The sequence below is a fragment of the Homo sapiens genome, chromosome 10 (genome assembly GCF_000001405.40).
Source record: "Homo sapiens chromosome 10, GRCh38.p14 Primary Assembly".
Lineage (NCBI taxonomy): Eukaryota > Metazoa > Chordata > Mammalia > Primates > Hominidae > Homo > Homo sapiens.
This window is the reverse complement of record NC_000010.11, coordinates 120,105,487-120,128,650: the sequence shown is the minus strand read 5'-3', so window position 1 is coordinate 120,128,650 and position 23,164 is coordinate 120,105,487. Positions and strand designations below refer to the sequence as shown.

At 40.9% G+C, this 23,164-nt stretch overlaps 2 annotated features.

Annotated features, from left to right (window-relative positions):
• Window positions 486–1,465: an enhancer, noted in NCBI's record as "NANOG-H3K27ac-H3K4me1 hESC enhancer chr10:121886698-121887677 (GRCh37/hg19 assembly coordinates)". NCBI's record gives its function as "activates a minimal SCP1, AML or CMV promoter by ChIP-STARR-seq in primed H9 embryonic stem cells {active_cell/tissue: H9 hESC(primed)}" and the evidence as "EXISTENCE:reporter gene assay evidence [ECO:0000049][PMID:30033119]".
• Window positions 20,967–21,136: an enhancer, noted in NCBI's record as "experimental_10450 CRE fragment used in MPRA reporter constructs". NCBI's record gives its function as "activates a minimal promoter by MPRAs in K562 erythroleukemia cells, with activity observed for the non-introgressed 10:121867112 variant allele {active_cell/tissue: K562}" and the evidence as "EXISTENCE:reporter gene assay evidence [ECO:0000049][PMID:34662402]".

The window sequence follows — 23,164 nt, the reverse complement described above, 5'->3', positions numbered from 1 at the left end:
CCCGCCACCACACCCGGCTGATTTTTTGTATTTTTAGTAGAGACTGGGTTTCACCATGTTAGCCAGGATGGTCTTGATCTCCTGACCTCGTGATCCGCCCTTCTAGGCCTCCCACAGTGCTGGGATTACAGGCGTAAGCCAGCGCGCCCGGCCTGTTTTGTTTTTTGTCTGTAATATGAGAAGAAACATCAATCCCTACTCAGCCTATTTTGAAAGACTTGTAAAAATCGCAAAATACACAGGAAGGGCGGGGCCAAGGTGGCCGCCTAGAAGCAGCAACTATAGAGGCTCCCATCAGAAAAAAACCATAATAGGCATGCGACCAAGGTATCCAGGTTCTCTCATCAAAATTGACTAGAAGGCTGGCGTGACCCAGGGAGAGAAGGAAGAGCAGTGTGGTGCAGCAGCCCTCGTTAGAGCCAAATGGGGAAGGGGAACCTCCCCCAAGCCAAGGGAGGCAGTGAGTGAGCGCGCTACCCAGCCGGGGAATCTGTGCTTTTTCCATGGAACCGTGCAACCCGCGGATCGGAAGATCCCACTCACAAACCCATGCCACTGGGGCCTAGCGTCCCAACCCCGGAACACGCAGATTCTTACAGCCTCTCAGATGGAATCTGCTTAAGCCTACCAAACTCCCCGGGGGAGGGGCAACAAGCACCCGCTACAGCTGCCTGCTGTCTAAGCCTTTTGAGCTCCTTGGCGGAGGGGTAGCAGCCAGCACTGAGACTCGCAACTGCCTAACACTCTAAGCTCCCTGAGCGGGGGAAGGGCGGCACCTATTTCTGTAGCTCCGGGCTGCATTTTTCCCCTGCTGGAGCCAGGGAGGCTGGACAGCTTGGTCCCAAGACTTGCCCCCCTAGCCCAACACACCAGCTGTGGCAGTCTGCGGCCAGAGTGCCTCTTCAGGCCCAACCCTGACTCATCCTTCCTCAGTGGATGGCTTCCTTGCAGGAACTCCAATAACTCCAGCCAGAGGCTCAAGGACAAAATTTGGATCTCCCTAGGCCTGAGCCCCTAGCGGGAGGGGTGGCCGCAGTCTCCGCAGACCAGCAGACTTTGCCTTTCCTCCTGGTAGTTCTGAGGAATCCAGGCAGCCCAGATGAGTAGATTTCCCCCCAGCAAAACACACCCTCTCAACCAAGGGACAAAGTGCTTCATTAAACAGGTCTTGCCCCCAGTGCCACCCAGCTGGGTGAGACCCTCCAACAGGGGTTGTCAGACACCCTATACAGGAGCAATCCTACTGGCATCAGGTTGGTGCCCCTCGAGGTCAGAAGTCCCACAAGTGGGAGCAAGCACCCATCTTTGCTGCTCTCTAGCCTCCTTGAGTGACATCTCCAGGCACAGGAGCAAATCAGATGAATAGGGCCTGAAGTGAACCCCCTGCAAACTGCAGCAGCCCTACAGAAGAGGGACCTGACTATTGAAAGAAAAAAAACAAACAAAGCAACAACAGCATCAACCACAACAACAAAAAAGGCCCCCAACAAAAACGTCATCCAAGGGTCAGTAGCCTCAAAGACCGGAACTCAACAAACTCATGAAGATGAGAAAGAATCAACAAAAAAATGCTGAAAACCCAAAAGGCCAGAGTGCCTCTTCTCCTCCAAATGATCACAACTTCTCTCCATTAAGGGCACAGAACTGGGTGGAGGATCAGATGGACAAATTGACAGAAGTAGTCTTCAGGAGATGGGCAATAAAAAACTACAATGAGCTAAAAGAGCATGTTCTAACCCAATGCAAAGAAGCTAAGAACCTTGATAAAGGGTTAGAGGAATTGCTAACTAGAATAACCCACTTAGAGAGGAACATAAATGACCTGATGGTGCTGAAAAACACAGCACGAGAACTTCGTGAAGCATACACAAGTATCAACAGACGAATCAACCAAGCGGAAGAAAGTATATCAGAGTTTGAAGACCACCTTACTGATATAAGACATGCAGACATGAATAGAGAGAAAAGGATGAAAAGGAATGGACAAAGCCTCTAAGAAATATGGGGCTTCATAAAAAGATTGAACCTACAATTGATTGGAGTACCAAAGGAGACAGGAGAATGGAGACAAGCTGGAAAACACACTGCAGGATATTATTCAGGAGAACTTCCCCAACCTAGCAAGACAGGCCAATATGCAAATTCAGGAAATACAGAAAACACCATTAAGGTACACCACAAGAAGATCAACCCCAAGACACATAATCATCAGATTCTCCAAAGTTGAAATGAAGGAAAAAATGTTAAGGACAGCCAGAGAGAAAGGCCAAGTCACCTACAAAGGGAAGCCCATCAGACTAACAATGGACCTCTCAGCAGAAACTCTACAAGTGAGAAGAGATTGGGGGCCAATATTCAACATTCTTAAAGAAAAGAATTTCCAACTCAGAATTTCATATCCAGCCAAACTGAGCTTCACAAGCGAAGGAGAAATAAAATCCTTTCCAGGCAAGTAAATGCTGAGGGATTTTGTTACCACCAGGCCTGCCCTGCAAGAGCTCCTGAAAGAAGCACTAAATATGGAAAGGAAAAACCTGTACCAGCCACTGCAAAAACACACCAAAATATAAAGACCAATGACACTATGAAGAAACTGCATCAACTAGTGTGCAAAATAACCAAATAGCAGCATGATGACAGGACCAAATTCACACATAACAATACTAACCTTCAATGTAAGTGGGCTAAATGTCCCAATTAAAAGACACAGACTGGCAAATTGGATAAGGAGTCAAGACCCATTGGTGTGCTATATTCAGGAGACCCATCTTACATGAAAAGACACACACATGCTCAAAATAAAAGGATGGAGGAAAATTTACCAAGCAAATGGAAAGCAAAAAAAAGCAGGGGTTGCAATCCTACTCTCTGAGAAAATGGACTTTAAACCAACAAAGATCAAAAAAGACAAAGAAGGGCATTACTACATAATGGTAAAGGGAACAATTCAACAAGAAGAGCTAACTTCTAAATATATATGCACCCAATACAGGAGCTCCCAGGTTCATAAAACAAGTTCTTAGAGACCTACAAACAGACCTAGACTCCCACACAATAATAATGGGAGACTTTAACACCCCACTGTCAGTATTAGACAAATCAATGAGACAGAAAATTAACAGGAATATTCAGGACTTGAACTCAGCTCTGGATCAAGCAGACCTAGAAGACGTCTACAGAACTCTCTACCCCAAATCAACAGTATATACATTTTTCTCAGTGCCACATGGCACTTATTCTAAAATCAACGAAATAATTGGAAGTAAAACACTCCTCAGCAAATGCGAAAGAACTGAAATCATAACAAACAGTCTCTCAGATCATAGTGCAATCAAATTAGAACTCAGGATTTAAAAACTCACTCAAAACCACACAATCTCATAGTAATTGAACAACCTGCTCCTGAATGACTCCTGGGTAAATAATTAAATTAAGGCAGAAATCAAGAAGTTCTTTGAAACCAATGACAACAAAGAGGCAACGTACCAGAATCTCTGGGACACAGCTAAAGCAGCTCTGTCAGCTGAGAGGGACTGGAAGCAATTACACTCCAGCAGCAATGAGCATACCTAGCTCCTGAACCTTTGTTTCTAATGCAATTCTCCAATAAAAGGATCCAGGGATCCTTGGATAAATGGCTGATGCTAGGACTGGGGTAGGAAATATACAAGATGAGCTTGGAGCATCTTGAGTGTAATAAAGTAAGGGAGTGCTAACAAAAAATTGTTTTTAATAAACCACAATGATGAGGTTATGTCAAAGGGACACAGAAGCCAAGTAAAGGAGCTCCCAATGGGCCAGAGCTGGAACAACATCAGCAACATAAATAAAGTATTGGATCATAATCAAAGGCTAAAATAAATATCCATGAGTCCATACTGATATAAATAAATAAATGAGAGCAAAGAGGCAAATCTCCCTGCAGAATTCTACATAATTGACATAGATACACTCCCCTCAAGCGGTGAATCATAACTCCCTTCTCCTTAAGTTTGAACTGCTTATAGCAACTTGCTTCCAAAGAGTATAGTATGGAAAGAGAAAAAGAAAGTAACTTTACAATGAAGACCTCAAACACTACCTGCACCAAGTAACAAATGTTAATATCAACAGTGATGTCGTGATAGTTTGTACCTTGGATATGACGTGCTGAAAATGGCACGTCTGTGATTGTCCTCCCTACCTCAAAAAAAAAAGAACTCAATAACCCCAGTCTAGTGATGGGAAAAACAACAGACGAATCTCAATTGAGGGATATTCTACAAAATACCTGACCGGTACTCTTCAAAACTGCCAAGGTCAATTAAAAAAACATCAAGAGTCTGAGAATCTGCCATAGCCAAGCAGAATCTGTGGAGTCAGAACAAGTAAATGGAATGTGGATGCCATACTGGAACAGAAAAAGATGTTAGTAAAAACTAAGGATATCTATAGGTTGGAGCAAAAGTAATTGCAGTTTTTTGCATTACTTTTAATGGCAAAAACTGCAATTACTTTTGCATCAACCTAATAATAAAGTATAGATGTTAGCTAATAACAGTGTATCAATATTGGTTCATTAATTGTAAAGAACATATCGTACCAGAGTAAGATGTCAATAATAGAGGAAACTGGGTGTCGAGCATGTGGAAACGCTCCATAGCTCTTCACAATATTACTGTGAATCTAAAAATTCTAAAATAAAAAAATGTATTTTAAAAATTAAAGTAGCCTGGGCACAGGCCCATGTCTGTAACCCTAGCACTTTGGGAGGCCGAGGCAGGTGGATCACCTGAGGTCAGGAGCTCAAGACCAGCCTGACCAACCTGGCGAAACCCCATCTCTACAGAAAATACAAAAATTAGCTGGGCGTGGGGGCAGGCACCTGTAGTCCCAGCTACTCGGGAGGCTGAGGCAGGAGAATCGCTTGAACCTGGGAGGTGGAGGTTGCGGTCAGCCAAGATTGGGCCACTTCACTCCAGCCTGGGCAGCAGATTGAGATTTTGTCTCAAAAAAAAAAAAACAAACAAACAAACAAAAAAATTAAAGTAAAAATGTAAGAAAATGCAATTACATTCTAGAGGCTCCTTCTAACAATTTTAGAGAGTTTGTCCTTCCTATAACAGTATGCCTTTATTTATATAAGCTTTATGGGTAACTATGATTATTTCCAGATTTCCAGAGGTTTCTTTCCTATTTCATTCCCAGCTCTCTTTCCCTAATGTGCATTTGTTTTACTTATCTGACTCTACACAAACCCCAGGTTCTCCTTAGCAAATTTCAAGCTACATTGGTGATGATATTCTTTCTCCTTTTTAAAAAGTCATTTTTAATTTTATTTTCCCTGCTTCCCAGCTTTCCAATCCTAGTTTTGGTTCCTACATCACTTAGTACCAGAGACAAAACAGATCATCTTATTTGCTTGCCCTTCACTCTCAGACTCAATGTCTAGCATGCGAGTAATTGTCTTTTTGCTGCATTGTCTTTTCTGTGCTCTTAATATTGTGAAGAATGCCATTTTCCATCACTCTCCAGTCACTGGGCTTACACTTGCAGAATCACCAATGATTCCTTCCTTTCCCTCATCTCAGGCAATTGCCAAACCCTGTCGACATCTCCTTTTCATTGTTTCTTGAATCAGAGCCTTTCTTTCCATTTTAATGCCAACACTCTGTCACAAACTTGGGTTACATCACAGTATCTCTCCTCGCAGCCAGCCCAGAACCATTCAGTGCAGTTCACAGGCCACCTTGACCAGAATCACTGGAGAGAAGGCTGAATGTGAAGACTCCCTGGCTCCTCCCAGAACTATTGAATCTGAATCTCTGGGGACTTGCTTGTGTTTTTAGAGGTGAGGTCTCACTATGTTGCCCAGGCTAGACATGAACTCATGGACCCAAATGATCCTCCCACCTCCGCCTCCCAAGTAGCTGGGACTACAGGTGTGAGTCGCTGCACCCGGCTTGGAAATCCACGTTTTAAATGAACCACTCCCCAGATAAATATACTCTTTACTAAAGCTTGAGAGTTAGCTTGATCCTGATGGTTCTAATTTCTGGCTCCTGATTTCAATCACCTAAGAAGTTTTTGGAAATACTGATGACCATGCCTCTTCTCCAGAGATTTTGGTTTAATAGTCTGGAGTGGATCCCAAGTACCGGTTTTAATTCCATGAGTTATTCTAATGTGTGGTCAAGAAGAGAACCACTGGAGCTGATGGCTCTTTAGATGGCTCCTGAGGCTTCATCCAGTTCTCAGATTCTGTCTTAACTTTCCTGAACATTGGTTTAGTAGGAACCTGTTTCACCAGAATAACATTTATATACTTGTATTTGTATCTGTTGCCACATAATAAATTTCCCCAAAACTTAGAATCTTAAAGCAACATGCATTTATCATCTCATAGGTTCTGTGGGTAAGGAACCTGGGCTTAGCTGGCTGATGGCCTCAGGTCTCTCATGATGTAACTACAATGCTGGCCAGAACTGAAGCCATCTCAAGGGTCAAGGGAGAGAGATTCAATATTGATTCATTAATTGCATTGCATTCCATGATCACTCACATCGCTATTGGTAGGTCTCAGAAGAGCCACTTCTGTGCTCCCTCAGCTTTGGACAGACCAAGGTCTTCATTGGCTGTTGGCAGGAGATCACAGTTTCTTGCCATGTGGGCCCCTCCAGAAGGCTGTTCATAACACAGCTGCTTGCTCCCCTAGTGGGAGGAATTGAAGACAGAGAGAACATTACAAGCTTTTTGTTTTTGTTTGTTTGAGACAGGGTCTCACTGTATCATCCAGGCTGAAGTGCAGTGGCACAATCATGGCTCACTGCAGCCTTGACCTCCCAGGTTCAAGCAATCCTCCTGCCTCAGCCTCCAAAGTAGGTTGGATGACAAGCATGCACCACCATGCCTCGCTAATTTTTTGTTTTGTTTTGTGGAGAGGGAGATCTCATTATGTTACCCAGGCTGGTCTCAAACTCCTAAACTTAAGCTCTCCTCCCGCCTTAGCCTCCCAAAGTGCTGGGATTACAGGCATGAGCCACCACTCCCAGCCTATCACAGTCTTTATATAACCTCATCTCAGAAGTAACATATCATCACTTTTACCATATTTTATTCATTATAAGTGAGTCTAGATCCAGCCCACACACTAAGGCAGGACACCAGAAGGCAGAGGCCATCAGGAGCCATAGTAGAGGCTGCCTAATGCAATATCTCCTATTGATTAGACAGCACTAACTGCTATATAGCAAATCTCAGTCCCTTGAAATAGTCTCTCTCTTACTTACCTAAGTTAAAAATGGGTGTTGCTGGTCAGTAGGTAACTATCCTCCAACTTATAATTCAGAAACTGGGGGTGCCACAGAGGTGCCACCACTCAGATCCCCCACAAGAGGAAACCTGCCATGAGGAGTGTGCTGGGCTAACAGCCTTTATTTGCTGCACATCTGGAATCTACCACAGCTTTCACACCAAGTCCACACTACCCCAAGAGGCTCCCAGCCCATCACTGAGCCCAGCAGAGCTTCTGGAACCAGACTCTTGTGCCCGGGACATGATCTTTGCCCAAGGGCTTCCCTCATTGAGATTTTTCTCAGAGCTGCACTGTAGTCAGAGACTCTTCCTACCAAACCCACCTTCCTTCCCTCTTCCCTTCCTCAGGAAACCAAGAACCATTGTCTGAAGGTTCCCCTTGCGTCCCCCTACCCACTCTACACTTTCCCCTTCCCAAGAACTTCCCTCAATAAATCTCCTGCACTTCTAACTCTGTCATGGCATCTGCCTCCTGGAAGACCTGAACTGACACAGGGGTATTAGGATTGGCTCAAGAAAGAACCATTATATGGGGTTTGAGGACTGGTTCATTCCACTAGGACATTTTCCCGGGTTACCACTGATGGTATCTTCAGAAATTCAGCTGCCACATTATGCCCAGGATTATCTGTGCCCCACATCCCTCTTGGGTTTGCGTCTTCCTTGCCAAATGGGGTGCTAAACTAGAAGATAAGACTTCTTGCCCAATCTTCTTCCAGAACCCTCTCTTTCACAGGTGTCAGACCTGCAGCCCCACCTGAAGGCTCTCCATGCCTGTTCATCTTCCCCTTCCCTTAGATCTTTCAGAGGCATTTCCCCCATAAATCCCCTGAACTTCTAACTCCTTCTTGGCATATGCTTCCCAAAGGAGCAAAACTGGCACAAGACCTTGGCTTCTTTCATCTTATGGGTCTACCATATGTTGGGTTTTTGTCTTCTAAGGTCACTGTGTTCACCTTCATCAAACCAAGAAAGGAGAGTGAGCATGAAGGTTCCTGAGTATGAGATTTTATAGGCCAGGCCTGAGAGTGATACACATTATTTGCACTCATACCCCAGCCGCTCCCCAGGTACTGGATGTATCCAGGCATGCCTTGTCTTATTACACTTCACTCAATGGTGGTTTTTACACATTGAAGGTTTGTGGCAATACTGTGTTGAGGAACTTTATCCACACCATTTTTCCAAGAGTACATGCTCACTTCGTGTCTCTGAGTCTGCATTTTTAAGCAATAAAGTATGTTTTGATTAGTGTATGCACATTGTTTTTTAGACACAATGTTATTGCACACTTTGCTGTTATGGAAACTTGGTTCTCTCATGGCCCCGATGCTTGCAAATATCTACAAGTATCTTTATTCATAGACTTTTGGTTCTTGTTTTTGTCCTTTTTTATTTCAAGGGTCAGTTTTTATATCTAGAGATCCAGAAGTTTATTTTCATTTCTAGCTTATTTATTTTCTAAGATAGCCTGCCATGTGCAGGAGATCTTTTAGATTGGCAATTTTCCATTCCAATTTATTTACTTATGACCAAATCCTCTATATCAAGTCTAAACCTTACATTTACAAAAAGAGAGGACAAGGTTCTCTTTATTTGGGCTCCTAGATCTAGCTTGAATACTGCCTGAAAGCTTCCTGGAGTCTGTGTTTGAAGTCTCCTCTTGATTCTTTATTTTCTTTACCATTTTAAATCTTTCTCCCATATCCTCTATGGGAAAGATTTCTGCAATGGCCTAAAGTAATACACTGCCTGTTTTTCTGTGTTTGTTTTCTTCCTTTATATCTTCAAAAAAAAAAAAAAAAACAGGATACGTGGGCTGAACGTGCAGGTTTGTCATATAGGTATATGTGTGCCATGGTAGTTTGCTACTCCTACTGACCCGTCCCCTAGGTTTCCTCTCCTTACCCCCCAACCCCAAAAAGGCCCCAGTGTCTGTTGCTCCCTATCTGTGTCCATGTGTTCTCAATGTTCAGCCCTCACTTATGAGTGAAAACATGCAGTGTTTGGTTTTCTGTTCCTGTGTTAGTTTGCTGAGGATGATGGCTTCCAGCTTCATCCATATCCCTGCAAAGGACATGATCTCATTCCTTTTTATGGCTGCATAGTATTCCATTGTGTATATGTACCACATTTTCTTTATCCAGTCTATCATTGATGGGCATTTGGGTTGGTCCATTTCTTTGCTATGGTAACTAGTGCTGCAATAAATATACACGTGTATGTATCTTTATAGCAGAATGATTTATATTCCTTCGGGCATATGCACAGTAATGGGACTGCTGAGTCAAATGGTATTTCTGGTTTTAGATCCTTGAGGAATCGCCATATTCTCTTCCACAATGGTGGAACTAATTTCCATTCCCACCAACAGTGTAAAAGCGTTCCTGTTTCTCCACAGCCTCACCAGCATCTAATGTTTCCTGAATTTTGAATAATCGCCATTCTGACTGGCATGAGATGGTATATCAATGTGGTTTTGATTTGTATTTCTCTGATGATCAGTGATGTTGAGCTTTTTTTCATATGTTTGTTGGCTATGTAAATGTCTTCTTTGAAAAGTGTCTGTTTATATCCTTTGCCCACTTTTTGATGGGGTTGTTTGTTTTTTACTTGTAAATATGTTTAAGTTCCTTGTAAATTCTGGATATTAGACCTTTGTCAGATAGGTAGATTGCAAAAATTTTCTCCCATTCTGTAGGTTGCCTGTTCAGTCTGATGATAGTTTCTTTTGCTGTGCAGGAGCTCTTTAGTTTAATTAGATCCCACTTGTCAGTTTTGACTTTTGTTGACATTGCTTTTGGTGTTTTAGTCATGAAGTCTTTGTCCATGCCTATGTCCCGAATGGTATTGCCTAGGCTTTCTTCTAGGGTTTTTATGATTTTAGGTTTTACATTTAAGTCTTTAATCCATCTTGAGTTAATTTTTAATGCACTGCATGTTTTGCTTATCCTCTCAAGGAGATCATTAAATTATACAGAGCTGGGTTATTTACATTCTCTCTTCATCTTTCCCATGGTTTTTAACCATGTTCCCCATCTGAGGGGGTTGTCAATCCAATAAACTAGTTGGTACAAATTTGAACATCCAGAACAACAAGTATCTAATACAATGTCGAACTCTATAGTAAATTTCTGTCTGTTTCTCTGAGGCTTAAAAAGCTTTAATTAGGCCAGGCGTGGTAGCTCATGCCTGTAATCCCAGCACTTTGGGAGGTCAAGACGGGAGAATCACTTGAGGCCAGGAATTTAAGACCAGCCTGGGCAACATAGTGAGACCTGTCTCTACAAAGAAAGAGGAAAATTTTTTAATTATAGCTGCACTCTGCTTAACTCTGCTATAGACAATGATTTAAATTCAATTTTCATATATCAGTCTTTTGGTCAAACAATTTTATAAAGTGATAGTTCTTTTCCTGAGAAAACTCTGAAGAAAGAATTATCCATTTTGGAGGTCAGGGGAAGGAACAGAAGAAAGAGAAGGAATGTAAAGTGGATGGGTACAATGTACACCACTTGGGTGAGGGGTGCACTAAAATCTGACATCACCACTACACAGTCCATCCATGTAACCAAAACTCACTTGTACCCCAAAAGCTATTGAAATAAATATATGTGTGTGTGTATATATATAATTTACATAAACATAAAATAAAAAATAAAGTGGATGGGGAAGACAATTCAGAGAGAAGGAGGTACAAAGCAGGTGAGTTCGGATAGTGTGAACACTAGTGAATTAGAACTTTTTGGAAAGAAAATAACCTTGAAGTCAGCATTTTGTTTTGCTGGCCCCTTGGCTTATCAATTTTAAAGAAGTTAACCACTGAAGTTTTGAATGTTATTATTTCCTAATTTTCCTGGAGTTCTTCTTAAATGTATTCATTTTGACATATCAGAAGTTTCCCACAATGGGCATTGTTATTCTAAATCAAAAATATGTTTATCATTTACCAAGTTAAGGTTACAGTGCAACTTCATATAGAAAACAGTTATTCTTGAGGAGAGTGAAATTTTGACATAGACAAATGAGAAAAGACCTAAGAAGGGATCATGCAGGTAACTGTTGACTCCAGAAGATGAACTCAACAAAAACAATCTCCAACAGTCTTGACAGAGTGTCTTTATGGAGATTTCAAAGGGGATCCAATACAGAGTTTGATCCATCACCTTTACATTAATTGGCCAACAGTCTAACAGACCTCCAACCACTAGTCTTCGAAGTTGTTTTGGAATGGATGATAGGCTTATTCAGCCTGCACCTACCTTATTCTCTCAGGAGCACCTCCTTATGTGTTCAACAGACAAGAAGGATAGGCAGGTAAATGGCAAAAAAATTTACCAAATAGTGCAACTACAAACCAAAGCCTCTAATGATTTTATATATATACTTAAGTCTCACTTTTTAAAACAAATTATGTGTCCATAAACTAAAAGGTTTAATTACTTTATATGTTATTATAGGTCTAATGACCTTAAATATATCCTAAGACACAAATCAGAATATCAAAATAAATTCAACAACCAAAGTTTACTAAAATAAGTCAGAGATTGATTGGTTACAAAAGGTAACAAAATAAACTCATCAATAAGAGCTCATGAAATAAGTTGAAGCTCAAATCTTTGTTGAGACAGACATACCTGGCAGCAACACAAAAGAAGGACAAATAAAATGGGGGCACAGGTGGTCTAATAAACATGTCTGTTAGCCCAAAGAACCCATAGAATACTACCAAGCAAGGGTCTTCAAATGATTTTTAATCTGTGAATTCCACCAAAATCATTCTCAATGAATGAGACCATCACTCAGAAGCTGAAACTAAAAGATTGAATTTATTACCTACTTAAGTAAGGGAGAGCCATGCTGGTCATACGAGACTTAAGTGAGCAAAGAGATCATTGAGACAAACCCCTTTGAGCAGATTTGCTACAGAGTTTGGGAGAAGGGGCAAGAGTGGGAAAATGTCAGCCTCAGAAGTGCCTTTTGTGCTGGTTGCAGACACTGGAGCAGATTGGCATCAGCTTAGAAGTGTGCTCACTGGAGTAAGTACATCACCAATTAACTGACTTTCAAAGCGTAAGGTTGGCACTGATTGGTTGGCTTTTGGAGATATGCTCAATGAAGCAAGTTGTTGTTGACTGATTTACAGCCGTTTCTGGTTTTTACTGCTTACCATGGCTATAAAATTGGCAGTATTTTCTTGAGAGTGTGGGGACTTTTCCTTCTCGGTCTCTGCCAGAACCACTTGATTTAGACTCACGAAGAATTAAAGGGAAACAGCATTGTCAACTCCAGGTAGATCACGCCCATCTCATCCCGTGCCTCTGTGACTAGCCACTGTCTAGCAAGAAAATGAAATAGACTTGGCTGGGCTTGCTTTCCACAGAACCATGCTGCTTGCTTTATTGCTTTCTGCGCTCTCCAGGTGACTGAGGATTGACTAATAAATCCTTTCTGCTTTTTGCTATGGTCTCAGGAACAACTGATGATAAAATAGGTATTTTTCATTTTCCTTTTTTAAAGGAAAAGTTTCTAACTTTTTTGGTCCTCTTAAACTTCAGCTGCTCTTCTTGGCTTCTTCTTAGTTGTGGTCTGTGCCTCTGCATTTGGGGCCAAATGAATGAATATATAAGTCAACAAATTCTGTTGATGTAAATATGCCCAACTTTTCAAAACTTGGACTTGCTGGATGGGAGACAGGATGTATCCAGGCAAAAATACCCAAAAATGCACAGCTATGTTATCAATACCAAGGGAGTTATAGAGATATTAAGTACTAAAAGAATTCAGAAGTGAGAGCAACACTGAGTGATTAGGCAGGCTTCACGGAGGAGATGAAACTTAATCTGGCTGTAAAATACCATTTCTATTTCAATAGGCCAAGAAAAGGAAGCATAAAACATGGATGACAAAACATTTTAAGTCAAGGTGGGGATTTATTTTATGTATTTAAAGATAATGAAGAAGAGTTCTGCTTCTAGTTACTAAGTAGAGAGTTGCAAGAGACCATTACCGTTTATCTAACAACCAAACAATGTGAATAAGCTATACATGCGTATGAACTAAACCTTCACTCTAGGAAATGAATAGCCATTCATAGAAGAGAAGAGACTTGCGGCTGCTCTCCTCTCTGGCTGAGCAACAACAGGATTAATGCTCCAAATGTGGGGTTAAAGAGGAACCAGTCAAAACTTGAATAAACATTTAAAGATTACAGTGAACTGGAATGACAGATTAGAATTCCAGGAGTCCCAGCCCCAGAGCAGGTCTTGCACCTGCCTGCCCAGTCTGTGCACAGGTCTTCACTGAGTGCTTTGTGCAGTACATTAAAAGCTGGAGGCAGAACTGGAGAGATTTTCCCTGAGGCACACAGGGAGGAACCCCTACAAGTCTCCGGGAGGTAGGGGAAGAGCAGGATAGCAATCCAAGGCGCTAAACACTCTCAGCCACAGAGAGCTCAGAAAAATCTCCCTATAGCACCCAGGAAAGTAGAGAGAAATCTCCCTAGGTACAAAATGTCTAGGGCAGGATTGTGGGGGAAAGTGAGGTATCTGGGCAACCAAAAATCTGGAAGTGGATTGTAAAAAACCAGAGAGATCCATTAGGAAAACTGGCAATTCAGCTATAATAAACAAAGAGCTCTTCTGATCTCGACCGTGGTCAGATTCTACAGAATCTGAATGCCCTACAGAAAAGAATGCCCTGTGCCTGCTCCTAAAATATTAGAAGCAAATGGTGAACTGAATCAAAGCTGCAACAATGGCCAGTCCTAGCTAAACTACAGATAGGACTGATTCACCGCCTCACTCTATCAGCCTGAAATAAGAAAGAACATGCCCATTTCTGGAAGTAAATTTTCTTTACTTCAGTCTCTATTGTTCTTTTATACAAAATATCCAGCATACATCAAAAATTATAAGGCACACAAAGAAGCAAAAGAAAAAATATGATCCATGGACAAAAAATAGTCAACAGAAGCAGACACAAAGATGGCCCAGCATTTGAAATTATCAGACATGAACTTTAAAATAACTATGATATATCGAAAAGATACCTGCACTCTTGTGTTTGTTGCAGCATGACTCACAGTAGCCAAGATTTGGAAGTAACCAAAGGATCTATCAACAGATGAATGGATAAAGAAAATGTGGTACCTATACACAATGGAGTACCATTCAGCCATAAAAAAGAGATTATGTCATTTGGAACACCATGGATGGACTGGAGGTCATTTATGTTAAGTGAAATACAGAGAGACAAACATCACATGTTCTCAATTCTGGGATCTAAAAGTCAAAACAATTGAACTCATGGAGATAGAGAATAGAAGGATGGTTACCAGAGGTTGGGAAGTGTAATGTGAGGCTGGGAGGAATAGTGATGGTTAATAGGTACAAAAATAGAAAGAATGAATGAGACTTAGTATGTTACAGCACAACAGGGGGACAATTGCCAATAATAATTTAACTGTACATTTAAAAATAACCAAAAGGGTATAATTGGATTGTTTGTAAAGTAAGGGATAAGTGCTTGAGAGGATGGATGCCCCATTTTCTATTAATTTTCCATCACATGGAAATATTATGTATTACAGGCCTGTATCAAAATATCTCATGTACCCCATAAATATATATACCTACTACGTACCCACAAAAATTAAAAATAAAATAAATAACAATAATAATAATATAGACGCTAAAAAACTGGTGGAAATATAGACATGTTAAACAGAGAATTTCAGCATATTTATGGAAATAAAGACCACGACGAGACCAGTCAGTCAAAACAGAGAAAATACACTTTCAAGGTTTTCATCTTGTGTTATTAGTTTTTTTCTCATTAACTTAGGTTAGCTTCTTTATTTTACATATGTAAAGAATCGTTTTAAAAAGCAAACTTTTCTAACAAGCCAAAGAAAATTGTGTGTGCTAGAACTAAATTATCTTGGAACATAAATTAGAAACTTTTATTAATCTCAAAGTAAAAACATTAGAAACATCTCTATATCTAAGCTACCAAACATATGCCAAACATGTAATCTCTGTACATCTTTCTTATTTATTATAACTTACCTTCATTTGTAAGGAATTGATGTCTCATTTCTTTTCACATAAAATACATCATAAATGCACCAATTCTTTAACTGACACTTTGCAGTCACATAGTCATCCTAGTTTGTCAAACCAACTCTTAAATGAGTGGCTTTATTATTATATGCAAGTTCATCCTCTACTTCATTAATGACTAATATGTAAAAAATGTTTTCCACTTTATTTTACTTTTAGATAAATTAGAGGGCAAGATGGTAAACCATTGTCCTGGTTTTTACAAAAGAAAATCATGACTTTGCAATAATTAAATTCACTGAGCATACCAAAGATTAATTAATTGGCACCATTAAGTGAAGCCTATGTTTTACTTCATTAAATTCCAAACTTACTGATGGTAATATTCCAGGCCTGTGATTCTAATGCCTTCTTTGCCTAAAGGCCTTGGGAAGTTTTATAACATGTCAGCCCCATGCTGATCAGTCAGATTTTCCTTCCAGAATTCACAAAGATGGGTTACATTTCACCGTGCACGTCATCTTTGCATGTACCATTCCTGAAAGGACCTGTTTAGTATTCACCCTAAAGCAAATATGATGAAAAGTATGAAATAAACACACACCCCAAAATGCAAAACCTTTTTAAGCGACCAAACTAATCTTAGTATTTTAGTAATTGCCATATTGAAACAATTTCCCCAAGAAGTTGACAACTGCATTCAGAAGGATGCAAAGAAAACAAAGTATCTCAAAAAATAAGCTCTTCAAATAGACAAGAATATATATTCTTGTATATTCTTGTACAAAAAAATATACAAGATCAAAATAATTTTGCCAACCATTCCCAGACTTGTGAGTGTCATAAAATGTCTTTTACTGTTGCTTTCTATTTCATCTCCCAAATCACTCCTCTCTTCTCATTTTGCCTCGTCAATGCACTCCCCCAGAATGTCAGGACAGCCATTCGCTTAGAAAGCATTCAGCTCTGGAGGGTTTCCACTGGGTGGCCACTGGCATCCTCTCTATGGTGGCAGCAAACAGGAAAGGCAAGTCTCCAAACATTTTCTTTCCCTACTGCCTGCCTTCCTGGGCTGCCACTCCACAAGAATATCCTATATCCCATGCAATGAAAGGAATTTCTCGTGGGCTTCGTGAAAACTGGAACTGACAGGAATCTCAGAAGTGCTCTAGAAATGGCTTGGGATGGCAGTGGGGGAGATGGAAGGAATGGTTTACAGAGAGGAAGGAGACAGAGACCAAGACAGAGAAAGCCAGACAGCACAAGAAAAGAAAAGTTCTGCTCATTAAAATCAGACCAAAAACATTTTTTGCCATCTAAATTATAGAGTGGTATTTTATTGGGAATGGGGAAGGGGTGTTTACATTTTTCCATTGAAACATGTTTACTTACTGTCCGTATTATTCATGAAAAACGTAATCACAACATGCTTTTAAGAGACAGCTGAACTGAGCCATCAGCTACCAAGCATCGAACAGTTCTTCCTCCCTCTTTCAACACCCAACATTCACCAACAGCATGGCATGTTTCTTTTTGTTTGTTTGCTTTGTTTAGAGAAAGAGAAGGAGAGGACCTCACACATTAACAGTCTAAAACTGGTCCTGAGTTTCATAAACCCTGAAAGACTGGCCAAAAATGTCCCTGTATGTCCAGATCTTTGTCACTGTGTCCGACCCTCCCAACTGCACACCCACTCATTTTAAGACCCATCCGTTTGCCCCAGGGCATGGTAAATAGTCTTCCTCAAGCATTCCCTCCCCTCCCCTCACTGTAGTAATCCCACAACCATCACTGAAGATCTGTGGTTCCAGACTTTCAAGAAAGGATGAGGGGCAAGGAGGGACAGGGAGAAGGAGACAGTGAATGGGTGCAGCAATAGGCTGAGCCTGAGGTTAGAGCCTGGAACAGAATCATCTACCTTCTCGCTGCTTTTGCGGTCCAGAAACTGGCTGGGGTGGCAGCCATAAAAAATGATGAGTTCATGTCCTTTGTAGGGACAAGGATGAAGCTGGAAACCATCATTCTCAGCAAGCTATCGCAAGGACAAAAAACCAAACACCGCATGTTCTCACTCATAGGTGGGAATTGAACAATGAGAACACATGGACACAGGAAGGGGAACATCACACACCGGGGCCTGTTGTGGGGTGGGGGGAGCGGGGAGGGATAGCAGTAGGAGATATACCCAATGTTAAATGACGAGTTAATGGGTGCAGCACACCAGCATGGCACATGTATACATATGCAACAAACCTGCACATTGTGCACATGTACCCTAAAACTTAAAGTATAATAAAAAAAAAAGAAAAGAAAAAGAAACTGGCTGGGGTGATAGGAACTCAGAGGCTAACAGGGGGCCTTAATGCCTGAAAACTGAGAGTGCTAGACCCTCACAGATCATCTCTCAGTCCCCCTCTAGCACTGAAATTTCAACATTCTAGGATACTGCCTTTCACATGGACTTGCTTGAAGTTTGACATTCAGGGTAGGGTTGCCAGATTTAGCAAATACAGATGCAGAATGCCCAGGTAAGTTAGTCTCAGATAAACAGTGAATAATTTTTTGGTATAAGTATATCCTATGCAATACTTGGGACATACTAATTCTAAAAATATCATTCATTGTTTATCTGAACTTTTAACTGGGTGTCCTGCATTTTATCGGGCAACTCTCTGACTTAGTAGATAATTCATAAATTGTTGTTCACACAGCAATCACTTACTCAGCACTAATTATGACCAGGGCCTGAGATTTATAAGAATCATTTGATGCTAACAGTCTTATGAGAGAAGTAAAGACAGAGGCTCCTTGGAGTGAGGTGGTAAGAGCAGGACACAAGTCCTGGCCCAGGTATCTGCATGCCATTTACATGCAATCATTTAGCAATTGTTGCAACATTGACAATGCATCAAATATCTTTGGAACGCTGTGCATGGAGCACTATTTGCCTTTAGGGAGGAGAATTGAGAATCAGAGGTGAGAGAGATAATTATTCTTCACAGCTTATTTGTCATCTCTACTGTTTGGATCTTTTTATTTTAGCAACACATGTAACCTAAGCAACTTTTTAAATTGAAATAAAACTAAATCCCAAGTAAAGATTGGTGTAATTTGCAATTTTGGTAAGTAGACTTTTATCAACATTAGTGCTTTGTCAGTAAGAGTGGCAACAACACTATTATAAACATGTTGATGATGTTTCTTTTTGTTGGGGGTAGAGTCTCTCCTCACAGCATTGTCCCCGGTTACTTACAGACCGGCACTAGTCACAATAGCAAAGACTTGGAACCAACCCAAATGTCCATCAATGATAGACTGGGTTAAGAAAATGTGGCACATATACACCATGGAATACTATGCAGCCATAAAAAAGGATGAGTTCATGTCCTTTGTAGGGACACAGATGAAGCTGGAAACCATCATTCTCAGCAAACTATCTCAAGGACAGAAAACCAAACACTGCATGTTCTCACTCATAGGTGGGAATTGAACAACGAGAACACTTGGACACAGGAAGGGGAACATCACACACTGGGGCCTGTCGTGGGGTGGGGGAGGGGGGAGGGATAGCATTAGGAGATATACCTAATGTAAATGACAAGTTAATGGGTGCAGCACACCAACATGACACATGTATACATACGTAACAAACCTGCATGTTGTGCACATGTACCCTAAAACTTAAAGTATAATAGAAAACAAAAAACAAAAAACACAGTCTTGCTATATGGGCAAACTACACATCTCAGGGGTTTGGCATACAGATTGTTTTGTCACCCAGGTACTAAGCATAGTACCTGAGAGGTAGTTTTTTATCCTCTCCCTCCTCCCACCCTCCACCCTCAAGTAATCCCCAGTGTCTGTCGTTCCCCTCTTTGTGTCCATGTGTTCTCATGGTTTAGCTCTTATTTATAAGTGAGAACGTGTGATATTTGTTTTACACGCGGTTTCCCTAAATAACAAACCTGCACATGTACCCCTGAACCTGAAATAAAAGTCAAAAATGAATACATAAACACTGTCTCACTTTTCTGTGCAAGAACCCTGCCCAATTAAGGAGAAAATTCCCCCATGCCTCAGATGCCGGGTTTTCTGTGAGCTCCACTGCCTGTGTTTCTCCCGGAGGCAGTAAGCAGCTTTTACTTGGATGAATAACTTATCCTAGGGAGCATTCTGTTCCCCAGACTGCCTGGGAGGCAAAGCAGAAAGCCTCCTCACAAGTCCTGGACCCATTGGGAAGAACCTTTGATCTGACCCTACTGACTCCATGGAGTCTCATTAGTGGTTCCAACTCTATGTCAGATGTCCTGTTCCTCCCAGTCCTAAAGGCCGAGACACAAAGACTAAGACTCAATGGATTCAGCTCTAAATTTTTAAAGATGAAAAGATATTTTCATGAAAATCCTATGGTAGCAAAGTTATTTTCTCCTAAGTGGACTTCAACCCATGGTTCCTCATTCTCTCAGATACACAAATCTGCACAAAGAGAAGAAATTATAGTTTTTTTAAAAAAAACTCTCTGCTTGGGACCTATTCTTCACAATTTTTGCAAATTCTCACTATCATTCTCAAAAACCAGATTGTCAGCACTGCAAGAGAAGGTAGGTCAAGGAAAATAAGCATTCTTTGAGGCATTCAGCTATTATGTGATTTGAAGCAGTCCATGAGAGGTGTCATGCACCGCACAAAATCAGCAGTTCCTGTCCCTGCACAAGTTCGTTCTCCAGCACCAGGAAGCCTCCAGGCGCTTACAAAGGCTGGCCTCAGATGAAGCACCACAAGCAAGCTCCTTCCACTATTAACTGGTAAAAACTGAATGCAATTGATAAAAAGGTGAATAGTCAGTGACTGCAAAAGTGTCAAATGGCAAAATGACAGTGAGCTTCTCATGTATATTATTTATAGCTCAGAGTACAGAGGATGCAGGAAAGAGAAAGGAAGGTTAGCACTTTCTGTAGGAACAACTGGACAACTGAAATTGTGCAAAAAAGCAGAGAAATATGGACCAGAGTGCCCTGCATTACCATCCAGGCTCATCTTATGATGTCAGTGGCACCATTTGGGAAATAAGAGACATGGCGCCAGCCTGAAATAATCGAAGAGATCAGAATCCAGTTATAAAAAGATTATTCAAGGGAAAAACTGCGATTTGAGAGACAGACTCCAGAGAAATGGGATCAGTGTTCCAAAGTTTAAAGTTAAATTCTTGCTTATACAGGCAGAAAACAAATAAATCTGACAGGGTAACATTTTTCTATACAAGGCTAGTTTATGAATGACAACAATTTAATTACTTACAGTCTGTTTTCCTTTCTGTACAACTTGTTTTCATCTCCTCTCCAATTTATTTTTTAAAATAATCCCAACTTTTATTTGAGATTCAGTGGGTATGTGCAGGTTTGTTACCTGAGTATATTGTGTGACACTGAGGTTTAGAGTATAAACATTCCCATCACCCAGGTAGTGAGCATAATACCCAACAGTTTTTCAGCTCTTGCCCCTCTTCCTCTGTCACCCTCCAATAGTCTCCAGTGTCTGTTGTTCCCATCTTTATGTCCATGTGTACCCAATGTTTACCTCTCACTTCTAAATGAGAACATGCCATATTTGCTTTTCTATTCTTGCATTAATTTGCTTAGGATAATGGCCTCCAACTGCATCCATGTTGCTGCAAAGGACATGATTTCATTCTTGTTATTGCTGTGTAGTATTCCATGGTGTATATGTACCACATTATCTAGTCCACCACTGATGGGCATCTAGGTTGATGCCATGTCTTTGCTCTTCTGAATAGTGCTGTGATGAAGAGTATATTTAATAACCCATCTTCAGACAACGTGATAGCCATAAAGTCTTTCCATAAGAAAGGCAAAGGGAAGGTAATCTAAAATGAAGATCAATAGCAAAGAAGGAAAGGGTCTTCCCTGTCACTCTTTAGTCATTTATAACATTTTACAAAACAGTGCAGTTAGGGAAGAAGACTAATCTATAATCAGAGAAACAAAGGTTACAGCTGCCTACATTACAGTTGTCTGTCACATGACTCAGGCCCCATAATCACATTCCTTTAAGGTTCAAAATACTTCAGAGTTCCAACAGCTTAGTTTTATAATTACTTATTTTCACACTGGTTTCTTGCTTGCTCTGCTCCCACTTCCCTGGGAAGTACTGGGATTATGCAGTAGAAAGGAACAGGTCATGATATGTAAAATCATGACCCTCCTATGTTCTCCATCTTCCCCACCCTGCCGTGTGGTTTTCATAGCTGTCAGGCCTCTGAGCCCAAGCTAAGCCATCATATCCCCTGTGACCTGCACGTATACATCCAGATGGCCTGAAGCAATTGAAGATCCACAAAAGAAGTGAAAATAGCCTTAATGGGACTGCCTTTAGGGAGGAGAACTGAGAATCATCTCTAATGATGACATTCCACCATTGTGATTTGTTCCTGTCCCACCCTAAATGATACATATATTCTCCCCCCACCCTTAAGAAGGTACTTTGTAATATTCTTCCCTGCCCTTAAGAATGTACTTTCTATGCCTATCCCAAACCTATAAGAACTAATGATAATCCCACCACACTTTGCTGACTCTCTTTTCGGACTCAGCCCACCTGCACCCAGGTGAAATAAACAGCCTTGTTGCTCACACAAAGCCTGTTTGCTGGTCTCTTCACACAGACATGTGTGAAAATAGCTCTTACCATCACCCAACATGTTACCAGTTCCTTTGTCCCCTGCCTGTCTTTCCCAGCATGCTGTAAGCTCCAGAAGAGCAGAAGCTTTCTTGTATTCACAGGAAAATCTCCAACTCCTAGAACAGCATCTGACACATCATATAGGGCACCAGCAAATATGTGCCAAACTACTGGATTTATCCTTTTATTGGTTGAGCACTCAACAGGCACCTGGGGATTTTGCTGAGTGATGTGTACACAAATGATGAACTGGATAAACAGAATGTGGTCTATCCATACAATGGAATATTCCTTGGCCATAAAAAGAATGAAGTGCTGATACATGTTACCACATGGATGAGGCTTGAAAACATTATGCTAAGTGAAAGCAGTGAACATAAAAGGCCACACATTGTATGACTCCATTTCAGTGAATTGTCCAGAATAAGCAAACCCATAAAAATGGAAAGCAGGTAAGTGGTTGCCAGGGGCTGGGCGATTTGGGGGTTGGGGAGAGTGAGGGGATGGGAAGTAATAGTTAAAGATGATAAAGTTTTTGGGGGGTGCTGATGAAAATGTCCTAAAATTGATTATGGTAATGGTTGCACACCTCTGTGAACACACTAAGAATCATTAAATTACATATTTTAAAATGGGTGAATTGTAAAGTATGAAAATTACATCGCAATAAAGCTATTATAAAAATAAATCTGACTTCATCATCACAGCAACATCATCATTCTGCCTTCTTTATGCCTCACTTCCCATCAAATTGCCTTTTCCAGGAAAAATAACTAATAGAAATGCTAATAACACATTTCTTCAATTATTCTCCTTTTTTCTAAAGAAATCCTCATAAAGCATCAGACAACCACAAATGGGGCCCACTGTCTCAGGGGAGTCATTTTCAACATCCTCCTTCTCTTCATCTGCAGGGCGGGAGCTGGACTAACCTCTCAAAGAGAAGGATGATATATTAGTACCTGACTATTGCAGAAGAAAATACAGAATATAAGTGCAAGTATTATCACTCTGAGGAATCAAGATTTCCCTGGTCAGGGAAAGAGTTATCATTTTTGGCAGCAGAAATTTTGATTTGATTTCCAACCCACTTGGAGACCAACCGATAA